Source organism: Homo sapiens, chromosome 14, assembly GCF_000001405.40.
Source record: "Homo sapiens chromosome 14, GRCh38.p14 Primary Assembly".
In the NCBI taxonomy this organism is placed as follows: domain Eukaryota; kingdom Metazoa; phylum Chordata; class Mammalia; order Primates; family Hominidae; genus Homo; species Homo sapiens.
The window spans coordinates 90019519-90039183 of record NC_000014.9 but is presented as its reverse complement, the minus strand read 5'-3'; the positions used below and the strand labels follow the sequence as shown (position 1 = coordinate 90039183).

Below are 19665 nucleotides of genomic sequence, written 5' to 3'. Positions count from 1 at the left end.
ACATATTAATCTGTGACTATATACAGCAGAATAGAACCATCTTACTGGTGTGAGGATAAATTCAACTTGCTGAAAATTCAGTACTTATTTATTTCAAAAGAATCAATTTCAATTCTAGATTTCCTTAAGCTTCCTGATTACAAAGTAATTTTAAAAGCTGAACTCATAGTTTACTTTTAGCCTTCTGTTTGTGCTATGAAACAAAAATAGATTTTACTAAAGGAGATGGCCAAAATCATTCTAAAAAATGTTTTGGGGTACTTCATTAAAAAAAAAAAACTTCATTTCTGAAGATCTTTCAAAAACAGGTCCTTAAAAATAAAACATATCAACAATTTTTTTTTTTGAGATGGAGTCTCGCTCTGTCACCCGGGCTGAAGTGCAGTGACACGATCTCAGCTCACTGCAACCTCCACCTCCCAGGTTCAAGTGATTCTCCTGTCTCAGCCACCCAAGTACTTGGGATTACAGGCATGTGCCACCACACCCAGCTACATTCTGTATTTTTAGTAGAGACAGGGTTTCACCATGTTGGCCAAGCTGGTCTTGAATTCCTGACCTCAAGTGATCTGCCCGCCTCTGCCTCCCAAAGTGCTGGGATTACAGGTGTGAGCCACCACATCCAGCCATACCAACAATTTAAAGCAATATACCTTTTGTGCATTTTATTTGGAAAGGATAATCCAATCAACTTAGTTTCCCTTAGAAAAATACTTGATGATTCTGGACTCTAGCAATAATTCTAACAGGTTTAGTGAAGTTTATTCTGCTACTATCTGAAAGTAGGGAGCTATTTAAAATTAATAAGGCAGTGGGAGAATGGTTAGACCATTTAGGAACAAATGGTTTTAAAACCTTTTGGAGGATTATGTATATTATGTATATGCTAAATCTACATTATGCATACCTCATGTGCCAATCAGCTTTTAAGGACCTCTTCTATTAACTACATTTGCAGTTTATTAGTTTAGTTTCAGCCACTTAAATTTTAAAAAAAATTTTGAAATTATACTTGTCAACAATTATTCACAACCTGGTAAACACCAACTTAACCAATCAATCAAAGTTAACATCATCAGTAATCAGACAGATCGATAGGATGTGCCTCCTGATATGATGCACCAGGAAGAACACATTACTTCTTTGGTATTCTTGGTAAAAGTACATAACCCGGGTCTAATTATAAAGAAACGGTGAGTGGAAAACCCAAAGTAGAATGTTCCTCAGAGTTTATAAAATAACTGGTCCATGCTATGCAATGTGTTGATGCCATGAAACAAAAAATTGTGGAACTGTTCCAAATTAATGGAGACTAAAGAGACATAACTCAATGCATGAACTTTCTCTTTTGCTATAAAGGACATTATTGAGGAAACTGATGAAATTTGAATACAGTTTTGGATCAATGTTAACTGCTGATATTGATCACTGTACTGTAGTTACGTAAGAGAATGCCTTTCTTTTTAGGAAATATACAATCAAAGTATTTAGGGATAAAAGGACATCACGTTTGCTACTCTCAAATAGATGAGAAAAATTGATATGAGAGAGGATGTAAATGTGATAAAATATTGACATTCAGGAACTTGGGTAAAGAGTGTGCAGGAATTCTTTGTACTCTTCTTGTAAACTTTTCTGTAAATTTGGAATTATGCCAAAACTTTGAAAGGAAAAAAATACTATATAAGTACTCATATGTGTATTTTTTTAAAATAATAAAAATGAAACAACCTCCTTAATAGACTATAACTAGTACCTCTGAAGCTTTGCATGTTCAGTTACTTCTTAAAGGAGTCATACAATTTATTAAGTCCAAATAAGATAGGCTTTATTTCACCCTTAGCTCATTACTTCTTCACCCTTTACTCTCTAGATAGCATATAAGATAACAAAGTGAATATAAGCTAAGAAGGGAGTGCAAAACAGATGCCCTTGGAAGAAAGGTTAAGATTACACACCAGTCTATTTTGCTTCCTCTTCAAAATCAAGGTCACACAGCAAGTGGGACATATGGAAATAATCTGTGTTAGATTTTAAAAGTTGGTGATTTTGCTTTATAAAAGCCTTCTTTGGGCCAGGTGTGGTGGCTCTCATTTGTAATCTTAACACTCTGGGAGGCCAAGGCAGGATGACTACTTGAGCCCAGGAGTTCAAGACCAGCCTGGGCAACATAGCGAGACCCCATCTCTACAAAACATTTCTTAAAAATTAGCTGGGCATGATGGCACGCACTGTAGTGCCAGCTACTCAGGAGGCTGAGGTGGGAGTATCACTTGAGCCCAGGAGTTTGAGGCTGTAGTGAGCTGAGACCATGCCACTGCAGTCCAGCCTAGGTGACAGAGCGAGACCCTATCTTTTTTTTTTTTTAAGGGGCGGGGGAGGGGCTTCTTTTAAAATTACTATTAGTAAAATGGGTTTGGTTAAGTTTGATTTTTCAGGAGAAGAGGAATGTAAGTTTGATGAGAGTAAGGATTTGTGCCTGTCTTGTTTGCCAACATATTCCAAGCACCTAGATGGTGTCTGCACACAATAGGCTCTCAATATAGATCTGTGGAGAGAATGAATAAACAGTAACTACTGCACCAAGCAGGGTATACTGGTAGCTGAGTCTTAGTTTTTGCTTTACTTTGATCATTTTCTTGGTTTCAAGATATCTGGCAGCCTCTTGCATTGAGCTTTACTTCATTCACAGCAGTATATTCCTTTGCTAAGCTTTTTGTAGTCTTCTGTCTTTAAAATAACACTGACAAGATCTTAGAGGTGTTACAATGGCTTGAAAATCACTTTTTAAAATGAAGTGCTTTTCAAATGTTCTTAACCACTTACTTTTTCAATCTTGGTAAATGCCTTTCTATAGTCCATATGGCTTCCCAGGAATGTTGGCTATATATGAACTGGTAATACTGAATTACTAGCATTATCCTACATGCAACTGAGGCAGTGTAGAGGACAAAACAGTACCAATATTAAATAAAATGCTCCAGTCTCTCTTGTATGTATCTTTATTTTTTAAAAAATTTATTATTATTATTTTAGCTTAAGCATACCCTGAGATTATATGTATCTTTCAAAAGAAATGCTGAAGAAACAAACAAAACTCATTTAAACATTGGAAAGCATTCTGCTTGCTGGCCAAATAAAAGATTTCTCATTCCATGGTCTAAGACACTATACCTAGCTGTAAACTTCTAAGTTCCTGGGAATGCTTACTTTACTGGAAGGAAAGGGCCCTTGGAACATTTTTCAGGCTCTTCTAGTGCTTCCATTTTTGCCTTCTTAGTCCTTTGAAGATTAGGACTAAAGAAATGAAGGGGGTGGAATCCAGCCAGGGTGCAGGGCTGGGGGTGGGAAGTGCAGGGCCCAAGGCCAGACCCCAGCAGATAAAGCCTAGTCAGTCAGTCCCCACTTCCAACAGGGAGGAGGAGAACTTGGGTTAAAAAAAAAAAAAAAGGAAGAAAAGGAACCTGAAGAACAGATAAGGGGAGAAAAGACAAAAGTAGCACAAAGCCAAAAGAGGGAAGATAAGTACTTTATAGATAATCTCAGTTAATCTTTTCAATAACCCTATAAGGTAGATACTCACAGTTCCTCACTGTGTAGACAGACACACTAAAACCTAGAGAAAGTAACTAAATGCCCAAGTCTATTTAGTAAGTTGTGGAGTTGGCACAGAAACATGGCCTGATTTTAAAGCAGGGTTTTCCTGGGGTTTTTTTTTTTTTGGTGGCAGGTAAGATCCTGACAGACTGCTTTAAATTCTGATAAAAATCTAGATAGCCTTGCTACCGAAAACGAAATATGCATGAATACACAAGAAATTTAGAGGACTCAACAGAAAGGCATAGGGGATTTCCACACTTTAGAAAGGAGAAAAAGAATGCCTCCTGAAACTTAGCATCAAACTATTGATTAGAGAAATACAAAGTTACCAGCAAGAGGCAGGATGGCACACTGGACAGCATGAGATAGGATTAACTTTGTCAGATGTGTTAACACCATCTAAGAAAGGGCCCATCAGACAGAGAAGGCTTGGTTTACTATGAAAGCTGAGAAGGTTAGTGGGACAGAGGAGGCTTGGTTCACCATGAAAGCTGAGAATGGTTAGCGGGACAGAGGAGGCTTGGTTCACCATGAAAGCTGAGAAGGTTAGCGGGACAGAGGAGGCTTGGTTCACCATGAAAGCTGAGAATGGTTAGCGGGACAGAGGAGGCTTGGTTCACCATGAAAGCTGGGAAGGTTAGTGCGACAGAGGAGGCTTGGTTCACCATGAAAGCTGAGAAGGTTAGTGGGTAGGGAAGTTGTTAGATTCCATGAAACATTGTTGAGGGAACAGAGGAACCACTGGGCAAGGCCAAGCTTGGTAAGAACTGGAGATTTTGGGGTATCAATGAGTGATGTCATTAAAATTTGCCAATTGAAAAAAAAATCTTTTCTCTGTTCAGATTTAACACTGGCTCAGAAACCTGCAGATTATAATTTGGCTATGTGGGCCTCTCCTTTCCAGTGGAGAATATGCTGATTTGGTGATGTAATTTGCCATTTTAAATTAAGTGTGTCTTGATTATATATCTCATCCTGTCTGAGTTTGCTAAGTGTGGACCCACCTTAAAGACAGATATTCTCAGGGCTGATAAAAGCAGCAGAGCAGCCTGTGAGGCTGGGACACACGCAGGCCAGACATAGGTGGGTACACTGATGCCAGCCAGCCTTCCTCTGAGCACAACTGAACCTTCTGCAGCTATTCCTATTGTGTTTCTACTGTGAAAGATACTTGGTCACTGCCCTTAAGACTCAATGCATGCAGTTTTCAAAGTGTAGCCCCTGGGGACCTCCCTTTTGAGGGTTTGTGAGCATGGTGGTTGGGAGGGCCTGTGAAGTCAACATTATTTTCATTGTAGTATTAAGCCATCATTTGTTGTTTTCATTTTCATTTTTACACAGGTATACAGAGGCTATGCGATGTGATATCACAACAGCCTCAATGAGAACACAGCAATGAGAATTCAGGTGTCACCTTTTAAGATGCACATAAAGAGGCTTGCAAAAACATAAAACACCACTTTCCTTGCTATTTTCTTCTTTTTGGAAATTGTCATAAGAACTTTTTTTTTTCCTTAGAGTTGGGGTCTTGCTCTGTCACTCAGGCTGGAGTGCAGTGGCTCAATCATAGCTCACTGCAGCCTCAAACTCCTGGGCTCAAGCGATTCTTCTACCTCAGCCATCCAAATAGTTGGAACTACAGGCATGATCCACCACACCCGGCTATTTAAAACAAATTTTTTTTTACATACTGGTTCTCGCTATGTTGGGCAAGGTGGCCTTGGGCTCCTGGCCTCAAGCAATATTCCTGCCTCGGCCTCCAAGGGTGCTGGGATTACAGGTGTGGGCCACCGTGCCTGGCATAAATGTACGTTACAATAGATTTATTATTGTTACATTTCTTGGTTTTAATTTCTAATAGTTAGACTTAATGACCTTTTGACCTTTATGATGGTGTGAAAGTGATACGCATTCAGTAGAAACAGTACTTTAGTAGTCTCCAATAAATTCTATGAGATAGTCAACAATTTATTATAAAACAGTCTTTGATTTATTTTGCCCAAGTGTAGACTAATTTAAGAGGTCTGATCATGTTTAGGGTAGGCTAGACTAAGCTATGGTGCTCAGTAGATTTGACGCATTAAATGCATTTTTGACTTATGATATTTTCAATTCATGAGGGGTTTATCAGCATGTAGCCCCAGTGTAAGTCAGGAAGGATCTGTATAGTAATTATAGGAGTGCAAAGGGATTCCAAGACTAACCAGTGGCTACAAGGCCCCAGACAGGCTGGCAAAGGGCCCTCTGCAAACTTGAGCTTCCAGAGGGTTCCATGAGCCAGGATCCCACTGAGACCAAAGGCTTCTCCTGGGCTCTGTTTGTTTTTCTTATGCATATCCACCCGTGGTTTTCCTTTATCTGTGTCTCACCTTTACTTCCATACAGTTCTGGAGGCAAATCATATGGCACAGGAAAGGTGGCCATTGGCTCCTGGCTGCCAGCGAAGAACTTCTGTTTCACTTTGAAACTGTCTAGACCCTGCAGACACACAGAGGAAATCTATGATTGCACCCCATTTTCTGGGTTTAAAAAAAAAAACCAGAAGGCCTCAAGAAGCAATAATATCTTTATGGTACCTAAATAAAATTCAAATTATTTTGGAGGTATTTTCAATGTTCATAGGCAAATATATTTACAACCCCCCCGCCCCAAATTATTTTCCTTTCTAAACATAAGAGCTTTAATTTTCAGGAATTAAGTTATAGCAAAGTTTGCAAAAGTTTTCAAAGGATACAAAGAAACAAGAGAGACAATTTTGGATATGATAGCCCATTTCAACCCAACATTATGTACAGTTTGCAGGGAGTTTGTAGAACTCACTGTATAAAAATACCTCAAAATACTTCCAACATTGCTATAGTAACAGGCTGCCTGGAGTAAGAAGAAATAAAAGCTGCTTTCATGTATAATGAAAGTGTTCCAATATAATGTGACAGAAGTATAAAAATGAAAATTCTTTAAGACCTATCAAAATGGAAGGTTTATTCCAAGAACTCTAGAATAGGGTATTAATTTTAGATCTTAATCAGGGTGGAAGTGGAGGTTCTATATCTAGGCTGATGTTCACACTGCCACTTCCTTCCAACACAAGGCCTGCCGCAGTGCAGGTGCTTACCACATGACCGATGTGCCCCCTCGTGCTTCCATACATTGACCAACTCCTGCCCCTTCGTGGATCATCCTGGCATTCTGCTTGTCCGTCTGTCTCTCATTCCTTCTGTCCACCCATCCACACACATATCCACCCTTCAAATCCTCAATAGGCACATACCCAACAGTGCTGATGTCTTAGGAACCCATAAAAAGAACAAAGACTGAGGTGCAACTTAGCAAGCGGAGGCTGGTCATGGGCAGTGTCAAAGAACATGGGGAGGTCCGTGTTGACTGGGCTTCAGATAATCTGGGTTCTAGACTTTTCTCTGGCATTTATTAAGCTGAGTAAATGACTGATGTCTGCACATTCGTTCATTCGACACTTTATTTCTCGAGTCCCTCTTCTGGGTCAGGCATGGTGCCAGGCACTGAGTGTACAAGAGTTAACATAAACATCAATATCCTTGTCCTCATGGAGTATACAGTCTGGTGGAGGGACATAAAATACATCTATAAAAGTAAAATAAAAATTACTATTTGTGCTAAGTGCTGCAAAGAAAAGCAAAGGAGTGCCATAAGAGAATAGCAGGCCTATTTTAGACTTGGCAGGAGCGGGTGATCAGTGGAAGCCTCTCTTAAAAAAGCAACACCTTTATTAAACTCTGAAAGATGAGCAGAGTTTGGTCAGGTGGGAGTGGAAAGAATTATGTTGCAGGTGGAGGGAACAGCATCCGCAAAGGCCCAGAGGTGGCAAAGAGCCTGGCAGGTCCCAGGGACTAAAACAGATGTTGAGTGGGACAGTTGGCCACTTTTATTAGGTTTCTTTGTTTTTTGGAGACAGAGTCTCACTCTGTCACCCAGTCTGGAGTGCAGTGGTGTGATCTCGGCTCACTGCAGCCTCTGCCACCCGGGTTCAAGCAGTTCTCATGCCTCAGCCTCCCGAGCAGCTGGGATTACAAGCATGCACCACCATGCCTGGCAGATTTTTGTATTTTTAGTAGAGACAGGGATTCACCATGTTGTTCAGGCTGGTCTTGAACTCCTGGCCTCGAGTGATCCACCCACCCCAGGCTCTCAAAGTGCTGGGATTACAGGTGTGAGCCACTGTGCCTAGGTTTCAATTTCTGTGTTTGTCCGCATATTCTCACTCATAGGTGGGAACTGAACAATGAGAACACATGGACACAGGAAGGGGAACATCACACTCTGGGGACTGTTGTGGGGTGGGGGGAGGGGGGAGGGATAGCTTTAGGAGATATACCTAATGCTAAATGACAAGTTAATGGGTGCAGCACACCAGCATGGCACATGTATACATATGTAACTAACCTGCACATTGTGCACATGTACCCTAAAACTTAAAGTATAATAATAATAAAATTTAAAAAAAAATGTTCTGTGTTTGTAAAAGTGGGAAAGGCTGAGTGTGGTGGTTCACACCTGTAATCCCAGCACTTTGGGAGGCCGAGGCAGGCAGATCACTTGAGGTCCGGAGTTCAAGACCAGCCTAGACAACATGGTGAAACCACATCTCTAATAAATAAATACAAAAAAAAAAATTAACTGGAGTGGTGGTGTGTGCCTGTAATCTCAGTTACTTGGGAGGCTGAGGCAGGAGAATAGCTTGAACCCAGAAGGCAGAGGTTGCAGTGAGCCAAAATCACGCCACTGCACTCCAGGCTAGGTGACAGAGTGAAACTCCATCTCAAAAAAAAAAAAGAGTAAAAATGAGATAATCAAGCTTCTGGAGACATTACCATTTCTAACTTTAGCACCCAGCACAAGTCCTGGTACATAGTAGGTGTTCAAGAAATACCGATCTGTAGAAATGGAACTAAAGTTCCTTTCCTGCTTCCTTTATAAGTTTCTGCATAAGAGCAAATGGCACAACCTGTGTGAAAGTGTTTTGTGCATGTCAAGACCTACAGAAAGGTATGGGTTACAGCACTGATGAAGATGGTGATCAGTAATACAGTGAAAGGCAGGAGGTGGCAGATGCCAGGCACAAACTCTAGACAGAATAGGAAGAAGTGCCCTTCTTCTAGTCATTTTCCTTATCCAAGAAGGATAAGGAAAGGCTTTGTAGAGGATATTTTAGCTAGGGCTTGAAAAATTGGTGTAATTTTAATAAACAGAGAGATGATAGGGAAGAATACCAAGCGTGAGAACAGCATAATCAAAGGCAGGGTCAGCAAAGCACAGAGCAGGCACATCCCGGGAGGGCGAGGGCACTGACACAGAGGAGGGTGACAGGGAAGACACAGAGGAGGGGGACAGGGAAGACACGGAGGGCAGGCAGGCCAGCTCGGCAGCACCTGCCCCCAGGTTTCCCTGCTCACATGTTACCTTTGACACACTCTGGATCTGAGGAAGTCCCTAATTATCTCTTGCTTTTGCAGACTGCTTACTTGCTGTGTGGCTCTAAGCAAGTTACTTAGCCTTTCTGGGCCCTGGTTTCCTCGTTTATGAAATGAAGATGATATGAGCACCTAATTCATAGGGCTACTGTGAGGATATTTAAGTTATTTAACAATGACTGGCCCATGGTACTTATTCCAGGAAACAAATGAGTATAATTATAAGTATTTTCAGGACAATTCTCTGTGATGTAATCACTCCTATTTTACAGAGAAGGAAACATATTTGGAGGTTAAATAGTTGCCCAAGGCCACACAGCTATTAAAAGTGGCAAGGCCGGGCACAATGGCTCACACCTGTAATCCCAGCACTTTGGGAGGCCAAGGCGGGTGGATCACCTGAGGTCAGGAGTTCGAGACCAGCCTGATCAACATAGTGAAACCCTGTCTCTACTAAAAATACAAAAATTAGTCAGGCATGGTGGAGTATGCCTGTAATCCCAGCTACTTGGGAGGCTGAGACAGGAGAATCGCTGGAATCCAGGAGGCAGAGGTTGCACTGAGCCGAGATCGAGCCACTGTACTCCAGCCTAGGTGACAGTGATGAAACTCTGTCTCAAAAAAAAAAAAAAAAAGGCCGGGTGCGGTGGCTCATGCCTGTAATGCCAGCACTTTGTGAGGCCGAGGCGGGCGGATGACCTGAGGTCAGGAGTTCGAGACCAGCCTGGCCAACACGGAGAAACCCCATCTCTACTAAAAATACAAAAAATTAGCCAGGTGTGGTAGTGCGCATCTGTAATCCCAGCTACTTAGGAGGCTGAGGCAGGAGAATCACTTGAACCCAGAAGGCGGAGGTTGCAGTGAGCCAGGATGGCACCACTGCACTCCAGCCTGGGTGACAAAGCGAGACTCTGTCTCAAAAAAAAAAAAAAAAAAAAATAATGGCAGGGCTGGAAATCAAACCGTCTTTCTGATTCTTGGTCCTACATTCCTTCCACCAAGCAAACAAATGGTCTCACATTCACCACCAGGAACTATGACAAAGGAAGAATTCCTTGAAAATTTAAGGCAGGCAGGGTCAAGATGAGCCAAATTCTAGAAACCCTGGTATTTGGACATTTTAAAAAACAAAGAGGCTAGTGGCTGGGAAGTGATTCCAAGTTAATGATTATTATACTTTTATGGAGTTTCAGGTAAAAAATGACTTCTCTCTTCTTTAGCTCCTATTAGTCCTGATATTTTCAAATATATCGTGGCCACAGGTTATGGTTCTTTACAGCCTGGGCCCAGATCTGAGGCTGTGTGCTCGACCCATGACTCCATTTTGTGATATTCGACCTCAGATATGAGAAGGTTTGAACTATCCCTGTCTGACAGAAACCAATATGCTTTTATTTTGAATGCCATTTCTGATCCAAATTCTAGGTTATTACAAAAAAAAGTACTACTTTCCCCTTCAATCTGAATGTCAAATAATTTGAGGCTGTCTTCTAATTATCATTATTTATATATCACAGTGGTATCACTTGGCATTTTACAAAACAGAGGAAGGCACCCTCCCAGGCACAGATACTTAGAAGACAGTTAAGACAATACGTTTATAAAACACCAGGTGAGAGGGTGGACATATATCACACATGAGAAATTGCTGGCTTTTCCTTTCTTCAGCTTTGGGAGTGAAAGAGCTGATTGTCGCTCTGATGATTTATGTTTAGCAGCTTAGCTCAATCATAGGGAACAGGAGGCATGCTTCAGTTTCAGTTAGAGATGTAATTTATGTTTTTATTTGCAGCTATCCGAGTAGCAACCTCAAGTGGTAAAACCCTACACAAGGCATCAGGCTTTCCTGGATAAAACAGTGATAGCAGCTGAACTTCCCAGAAGGGGCACACTTAGTCAAAGACCAACTAATTGGCAAGGAAGTAAATTATAGGAAGGTGGTGGCATCTTTCCTGCAAGGCAGTATAGGATCAACAACTGGAAGTGCTTCCAGCTAGGGGCTTAGGAAAAGCTTTGTGGAGAAGTGTAAACCTAACAGGATTTTGAAGGATGGGTTTTTGATAAGCAAAGGGCTGTTTGTGTGGGGCTGGGGGAATGCAGTTCAGAAGGAAAGAAAAGAGTGCAACGTCATCACAGAAGTGACATCAAGATTCTGATTTGACTGAAAACCCATGGAGTATCAGCCCCTGCTTTCAACCTTCTGTTGAACTGTGTGGCTTATATGCTGTTGCTGCTACTGCTAATGTCAACTGCAACCTTTACTGAGACTTGCTAAGTACCAGGCACTGTTGTAAACACTTTATGGGTTATAACTCTTGATCTCACATGAGATCCTATGAGTTACATTGTTTCCATTGTACAACGAGAAAAAGGGGCCTACGGAAGTAGAATAAGGAGGCCAAATCTAACACAGCTTGTAAGCAGGATCCTAGCTCCTCTCTGTCTCACTTCAAAGTTCATTCTCTTTCTCTCATTTTGGCTCCTAGAGATCTGAGGTCCCTAAGGGATCTGTCCAATGTGTTTCCCCATATTCTCTTACCAAGTTACTTCAGAGTCTCTGAGACAAAGAGCAGTAGATCCCAGGATCACACTGCTAGTAAAAAGGGGCCATTGCTGCTACAGCCTACGTGCATTAATATGCTAACAAATACTTGTGGGTGGCTGGAGCCTGGGGGACATGCTGTTCCAGCTCACAGTGGACCTTGATGTCACACAAAGGAGTCCGGACATCATCTCGTGGGCCAAAGATTGCTGCTGAGGGTTTAAGGGCAGAGGAACACAGACCCTGACATGTGGGTAGAAACCCAGCAGTAGCCTGAGATGGGGAAAACAGGGAGGGAAGGGTCAGTTCATCCAGGGGAGAGAGAAGGTGACAACCAGTAGGAACAGGCAGAGAAATTCTTGCCAGGAATGCTCATCATCACTGGCCATCAGAGAAATGGAAATCAAAACCACAATGAGATACCATCTCACACCAGTTAGAATGGCGATCATTAAAAAGTCAGGAAACAAGAGGTGCTAGAGAGGATGTGGGGAAATAGGAACACTTTTACACTGTTGGTGGGACTGTAAACTAGTTCAACCATTGTGGAAGACAGTGTGGCGATTCCTCAAGGATCTAGAACTAGAAATATCATTTGACCCAGCCAACCCATTACTGGGTATATACCCAAAGGATTGTAAATCATGCTGCTATAAAGACACATGCACACGTATGTTTATTGCAGCACTATTCACAATAGCAAAGACTTGGAACCAACCCAAATGTCCATCAATGATAGACTGGATGAAGAAAATGTGGCACATACACACCATGGAATACTATGCAGCCATAAAAAAGGATGAGTTCATGTCCTTTGTAGGGACATGGATGAAGCTGGAAACCATCATTCTCAGCAAACTATCGCAAGGACAGAAAACCAAACACCACATGTTCTCACTCATAGGTGGAAATTGAACAATGAGAACACATGGACACAGGGTGGGGAACACCACACACCGGGGCCTGTCGTGGGGCAGGGGGAGGGGGAGGGATGGCATTAGGAGATATACCTAATGTAAATGATGAGTTAATGGGTGCAGCACACCAACATGGCACATGTATACATATGTAACAAACCTGCACGTTGTGCACATGAACCCTAGAACTTAAAGTATAATAATAAAAAAAAGAAAATAAATTCTTGCCAGGGCAGATGGTATAGGATGTGGACAGGTGAGAGGAAGGAGTAGAATGCAAGGGCCGTGGCTTTATTCGCTGGATGCGAGAACATCAGCAGGTACCAAGATACGCCATGTCAAATTGTTGCCCGGCTGTGGCCTCCTGGGAAACCCTGGGGACCCATAACAGATGGGCTGGGCCCAAGGCAGGTAGGCAGCATTGGTGTCAGGAGGAAGAAGACAAAGAGAGGGTTAAGGTGGTGGCTCTTGTAAACTGTATTAGTTCTTCCAGCCAGAGCCACATCATAAGAGTGCATGTACTTTTGGTACACACCATGTTTACAATGAAAAAATTTAAACAGAACAGAGAAAAGAGAAAGTAGAGACTTGACTTTTTGGAACCCACTAGCACAGGACCAAGTGACCCTGGGGCTCAGAAGAGGCTGAGACCAGCACAGGGACACCTGGGCTACTTTCATCCGGAAGTAAGCAGTATTGGACCCTGATCCAGGCTTCTCAGATGCTTATGTGCAATATTATTCCCAGAGGCAGGAGGAATTCTAGCCACAGTGCACTAGGCAGGCTCAAGTCTAGTGCCTACTCAGTGGCTGACAGAGTATGTGCTCAATAAACACCAAAGGAATGAGGTCCAAAGAGAGAAGTACTTGTACCTCCCTGATATATTCACAGAGGCCTTTGGGTTTGGAATACAGCTACTGATCTTTGAAATAATCACAGCTTTCCTATATTGAGACTTTCTGAACCGTAGTCTAATTTAAAAGTTAAATACACTTAAAGGGACAACCCAGAAAACATTACATAATTGATAAATTGATTTTAGACCTGAAAAGAATAAAGTCTTTGATTTAAATTAACAAACTTTTATTAGGCGACTACTACTACTATACACCAAACATCACTAAGTACTGGGCATACAAAGTCAAATGTACCTTGACATGACTCTCCAAAGCTCTTGAAAGTGTTCTTAGTCAAAGGGGAAGCTATTGACAACATACTTTACAAGTTAGGTTTCTCTCAAAAGGATGTATTTCCAGATTTATTCACTTAAAAAAACAAGAAAAAAAATAGGAACACATGGTACCAGCGACTTATCAGCCTCCAGATCAATCCCAGGTTTCAAATGGCATCTTTATCATGAATGGGAAATGCTGGTTCTCCACCTGCTGTATTTTTAGTTCACAGTAGTGTCACATCACACGGCAACTTGGTTCCAGAGTGACAGGTCCTAATCATGGCTGTGGGGAAGTAGAGAACTGCAGGATTCCTTTTCTAGGTGAGGCCTCTGCAGTGTGTGACACTGTGCCATTCTGGGCACTAAGCTTGACTATCTGCAACAATGGCTCCAAATGAGCCCCTCAGAACACAGCAAGTGACACGGCCTACTGGTGAAGGACAAAAGTGGCAACTCTGGCTGCTGATACCTCAGACATGTGGGTGGTGCGGACACAGAGTTCTACCCAAGAGATATGAAGGAGGGCTGATCTCAAGGAAGTAAATTCTGGATGATGTCCAGTCTGAAGGATGTCTAAAAAATTCTGTATTAAGTAAGTCTATTTGGCAAACATGAAGCCAAAAACACTAAAAGGCATGTCTTGCTGGTACTGAACAGGGAAACCTAAAAAAAGATATTAACTCCTGGCCTCATTTTATGATAAACTGCATTCTTGTCAGTAAACATTTTAGGATTATGATACAGAAATCTTTAAGATATTTATTAAATTAATTTATAGGGATTGGCATTTGTAAGTACTGCAGTGGACTCCTAAGCGTATGTGTATTTTAATTTCAAGACAGCTACAGATGAGCTATTCCATACTGCAAATTGCTTTACAACACAGTTTGTGAACATATTTAAGCACCTACTGCACACAATACCCACTGGACCAAAATCACAGTCTCCATACTGTTTCACACACTTCTCACATTGTTCGGTATGGATCAACTTAAAGGAAACAACTTCAACTAACAGACACTTAGGAAAAGCCTCCCACATGACCCATTCAGCTCACTCTGGTCCAGGAGACAAGAGTCAAAGGTCACAATGCAAGGTGGGATATGTGCTGAGCCCCAGGTTCTAGAAAGTTGTGGATGCAGAGGAGGGGTGCCTGGAGTGGAGACAGGTGCAGCAGGCAGAGGTGGGGCGTAAAGGTGTCATTCTCAGTACAGATTATGGCTGGCTAGCAGGGTGGACCTGGCTCGTAGTGAGAGCCATGAGTTCTGCACAGCATAAACAGTAAGTACCAGGAACGAGAGGTTAGGAGTCGGAGCACGAAGGGGAAAAGAAGCCCTGCTAAGGAGGCTGGATTCTACCTTACAGGATCTCCAGCAGGTAACAAAACCAGATCTGTGGTCTACAAGGCCCATTCCCACAGTGGACTGAGGAGTAGCATAGATGTGGCCCAGGGAGGTGAAGTGGGGGCCATGGCAGTAACAGCTGATTCGCCCAGCATGTGATGTTGCGGGGGTGTTCAGAGGGAACAGATTATCAAGAAGCATTAAGGAGTGAGAAATGACAAGATCTTTTGGGAGGCTGAGAAGGATCACTTGAGCCCAGCAGTTCAAGACCAGTCTGGGCAACATGGCAAGACCGCATCTCTACAGAAAAATTAACAAGTCAGCTGGGTGTAGTGGCACACACTTGTAGTCCCAGCTACTCAGGAGGCTGAAGTGGGAGGACTGCTTGAGCCTGGTGGAGACTGCAGCTCTGTACTCCAGCCTGGGCGGCAGAGCAAGAGCCTGTCTCAAAGGAAAAAAAAAGAAAAGACGTGCCAAGAGAGTGAGGTGAATAGTAACAGTGACTCATTAATAATCAGGTTTGTTAAACAGTGTGGTTTACATGGCTAAGATGATGATTTTGATAATACATGCAATGTGCTATATCCTCAAGTACCTTTTAAATAGTATAAATCATAATCCTAATTTCAGAATTATATTTTGTAAGATTCAAATTCTCTGAAAACTGGCCTAAGACCACTAGCCCTGCTTAAAAAACTGATGCCTTTCTACTATCCACGTGGAACCAAGGCCAGTGGTGTGTTCTGTTCTCCAGTCTCCTTCAGATTGGAATTCCAAGCCTCTCATACCCACGCCCCATCCCCATTCCAAGCACACAGAACTGTTTGCTCTTTCCCAAACACAGCCTGCACTATTATCTCTGTCTGGAAGCCTCCTCTTCCCTGACAGCAGTTAAGCTCATACTCCTTTCTCAAGAGTGAGATCGAATGCCACCTCCTTAACAAAGCCTTTCCCAAGCCCCCCGGGCAGACCACATGGTCCCTCTTCTCAGAGCCCCTGTATTTTGAATGCCCCACACCCTAGTTGTTGTCATATATTGTAATCACCAGTGTCTGTTTCCTCAGCTTATCCATGCGTTACCAGAGAACGAAGCCTCCACTTCATCCTTTATTCTCTTCGCAGGGGCCTGGAAGACAGCAGGCACAGGGTATGTGTGGGACTGAAGTGAGTATGGAGGTGGGTAGTCCCAGGCCACTGGAACGTCCAGGTAGGAGCCTGGGGTATGCTTTGAGGAGGGAACCGTCGGGCTGTTCCGTTGGACAGCCTCTCCTTCACAAGTTAAGCATCTCACTCCTGTGCACGTATAAACTCAGCGAAACGACAAACTACCTCATGGCACAAATCTCTGGGTCATCCTCAAGGTCAAAACCATCAATGTTAATTTTGTGAAGGCCAAGCAAAGGTCTACTTTTTTTCCAGAAGCTTCACATATCAGTAGACAACATAGATGTTGTGATATAAGCACTTTAAGATAAAGTCTCCTATATCAAAATAACCCAACAACCCTTTTTACAGACTGACAAGACGCACATCAACTCACTTATGGGTGAAACCCCTTGGTAGTATCTACCCCTTAGGGTGACTTCCTCGCTCACATCCATCCTCCCTTCTCTGGAAACAGGCTCTTTCTCCGGGAATGGAGCTGGGAGAGTCCTGAGTCATGGAAGGCAGATCTAGGCCTGAGGTGTCACTGGGATGCGGACTGGCCAGCACCTGGGCTGCAGAGCCATGCTAGCTGCAGAACCCAGGGAGAAGGGCCGCTGCTGAGTCCCCTAAGAGGGCCTGGGCCCGTTGCTCCCAAGTCTCAGCTACTCAGCAACTCCTCTGATCCCATGACATCCCCCCAGCATCTTTTCAGTAAACTCCTTCCATCTGTGGGCTTCTGTGGGCACAAATTGGTTTCTGTAATGCACAACAAAGTCCTCTGGCTCTGCTCACTCAGGTAGGCACCTCCCTCAGATCTCAGCACCCAGCTCTCACCCAGGAAGGATGTCTCTGTCTCATTGCTTAGGTGTATCAGGTGGCCATCTGACTCTATGACCACCCTGCCCAACTAGCCTATGAGCTCCCTGGGAGGGGAAGGGTAAAGCCATTCTGTGTACCGTCCACAATGCCTGATTAGAGCACTCTGCCCAAGTCATTTGTGATTCACTGAAGGACACAGCCCAACCAAAGGGACAATGACTAATGACAAGATAGGTATAGTGAGTGGGGCCTCACCAGGGTCATGACGGAAGCCTGCTGGAAAGCACTGTTCCAGGCTCTGTTTTTTGAGATGTGCTAACAAACTCTTGGAAAATCTGTTACAATCTTAGACTGTTAATTACATCGTCACCCTAATTGGTGCCTAGCTCTTGAATCAGTTGGCATAGTCTAGAAGGGGTGGAATCTGTTTTATATTCTTGTCTGATGGTCTTTATAAATAATGCAATCTCTATTTTACCTGGAATGTGCTATAATGGGGCTCTTTCTTATTCCAAAATATAGAAGAGCCCCCCTATAAGGTCGGTTTAGGGATTCCAAATGATTATTTCTTTTTCTCTATTAGCCTTCATTAATGGATAGTCAGAGAAAGAATATCTGGGGTAAAAAATGAATAGCTCAGAAGGGTTTAGAGGACCTGGAAGGGCAATACATTTCTTCCTATTAGCATTTTCATGATCAGCATTTTCATGGTCAGAACAGTTACAAAGGACCAGACTTTTGTAAATGCTGACAACAGAAGCCAAACAGGAGTGATGTGGAATTTATTCCATTACTTATTATTGGGAGAGAACTCCAGCCACAGTTATTATAAAAGCCACAGTCACTATAATCACACCTCCTAGTGATGTGACTTCATTGTTTCCCACAAGCTGTATGATAAAGCTGAAATCTTATAACTAAAAGAGGTTAGTTACATAGTTTTGTAGTGAAACTGAGACAGAAAGAGAAAGAATGGATAGACTGGTGAGAAGAGGAGAGAGAAAGGGAGAAAAGAGCTCTTCACCTGAGCACGGTGTGAGAAACAGTGAACGACGCTGGGGTGGGCTGGGAAGGTGGGTGCTCTCCAGCGTGCCTTAAGACTGGATTAAGCAGTGGCACACACCTGTAATCCCAGCACTTTGGGAGGCTGAGGCAGGCAGATCGCTTGAGGCCAGGAGTTGGAGACTTGGCCAACATGGTGAAACCCCGTCTCTACTAAAAATACAAAAATTAGCTGGACGTGGTGGCAGGCGCCTGTAGTCCCATCTACTAGGGAGGCTGATGCAGGAAAATCACTTGAACCCTGGAGGTGGAGGTTGCAGTGAGCCGAGATCATGCCACTGCACTCCAGCCTGGGCGACAGAGCGAGACTCTGTCTAAAAAAAAAAAAAAGACTGGATTAGTCCAGATTGAAGTCTGAGGACAAGCACACACCAACCCCTCAGCTAAATCATCTGGTCCAGTTGGTGTTGTCCACAATGGAGCTTTGTCATGTGTGTTTGTCATAAATTCAACTATAGCCAGTGAGGAGGGCAGGGGAGGGAGGGAGGAAGGAAGGCGGGGAGGGAGGGAGGGACAAAGGCAGGCAGGGAGGGAGGGAGGGAGGGAGGGAAGGAAGGAAGGGAGGGAGGGAGGGAAGGAAGGAAGGGAGGGAGGGAAGGAAGGGAGGGAGGGAGGGAGGGACGGAAGGGAGGGAGGGAGGGAGGGAGGGAGGGAAGGAAAAAGCATTAGCCATCTGATCATGTGGGCAAAGCATTAGCCATCTCATCGTGTGGGCGATTCTGAGTGTGTGCCCACAGTGACAGGAAGGAAGGAAGGGAGGGAGGGAGGGAGGGAGGAAGGGAGGAAGGAAGGAAAAAGCATTAGCCATCTCATTGTGTGGGCGATTCTGTATTCTGTGTGTGTGTACCCACAGTGAGTATAAGGAGGTGACATGGGAGATCTCAGTCCATGTGCCTCTTATGGTGAGAATATCTCTCTGGGTCAAGCGTGATTCTAGCATTTAGAGAAACAGATGGCTTGTACACCCCAGCCCCTATGTGCAAGCCACTCCTTCTGGTGTTTGGACACAGCCACTCTTTCTGGTGTTTGGACACAGAAATCTCAAGTGGCTCCAGAGCTAGGAGACAAGCTGGCTGTGCTGGACATCTCGAAAGACCAGTTCGACACGGTGCTTTTCCAGGGGGCTTACTGGGCCAGAAGCACATGTCCTTTGTGCCACCCCACTGGCCCCGCCCAGCCAAACTCTAGCCGATGATGTGAACCAATCTCTGCTTCCCAGTTTGTGCTACTACCAATTCCTTTCCAACGTTGATGCCATTCCCACCTCTCTCTATACAGCCTACATCCTAAGCATCTTTCAAATACTCTGCCAAGCTCTCCTGCTTCCCAACTTCATCCTCCAGTCACCCCTACCTAAAACAACTTGTGCTTGATTGGGCCATTCCTTTGGTGACTTGTCATCTACCACCTCGAGATAAATCTTCACATTGTAGTTCACAATATTTATTTTAAATGTTATTAATTTCGCTGGAAGCACACAGTCAATTCCTAATCAAGTACATGCCTTGAAAGCAGGTATCCCACTGCACCCAGACTGGTGAGTGTTCAGTAAGCTCAGAGGTACAGACCAGCGGTTAAGAGTGCAGGCTCTGGGTAAGAATCCCGACTGTTT

At 43.5% G+C, this 19665-nt stretch overlaps 1 protein-coding gene across 18 annotated transcripts in view; it reads right to left on the bottom strand.

The window, feature by feature from the left end:
• The window catches only part of TDP1 (tyrosyl-DNA phosphodiesterase 1), an 89797-nt gene that overhangs the window by 5581 nt on the left and 64551 nt on the right, over positions 1-19665 (bottom strand). For 14 of the 18 annotated variants that reach the window (XM_047431570.1, XM_011536942.4, XM_047431568.1 and 11 more), the window contains one exon: positions 5970-6078. The exons of the other annotated variants lie outside the window; for them this stretch is intronic. In XM_047431570.1, the coding sequence (XP_047287526.1) occupies positions 5970-6078 (109 nt within the window). The remainder of the gene's footprint in view (positions 1-5969; positions 6079-19665) is intronic. 18 annotated transcript variants of the gene reach the window in all.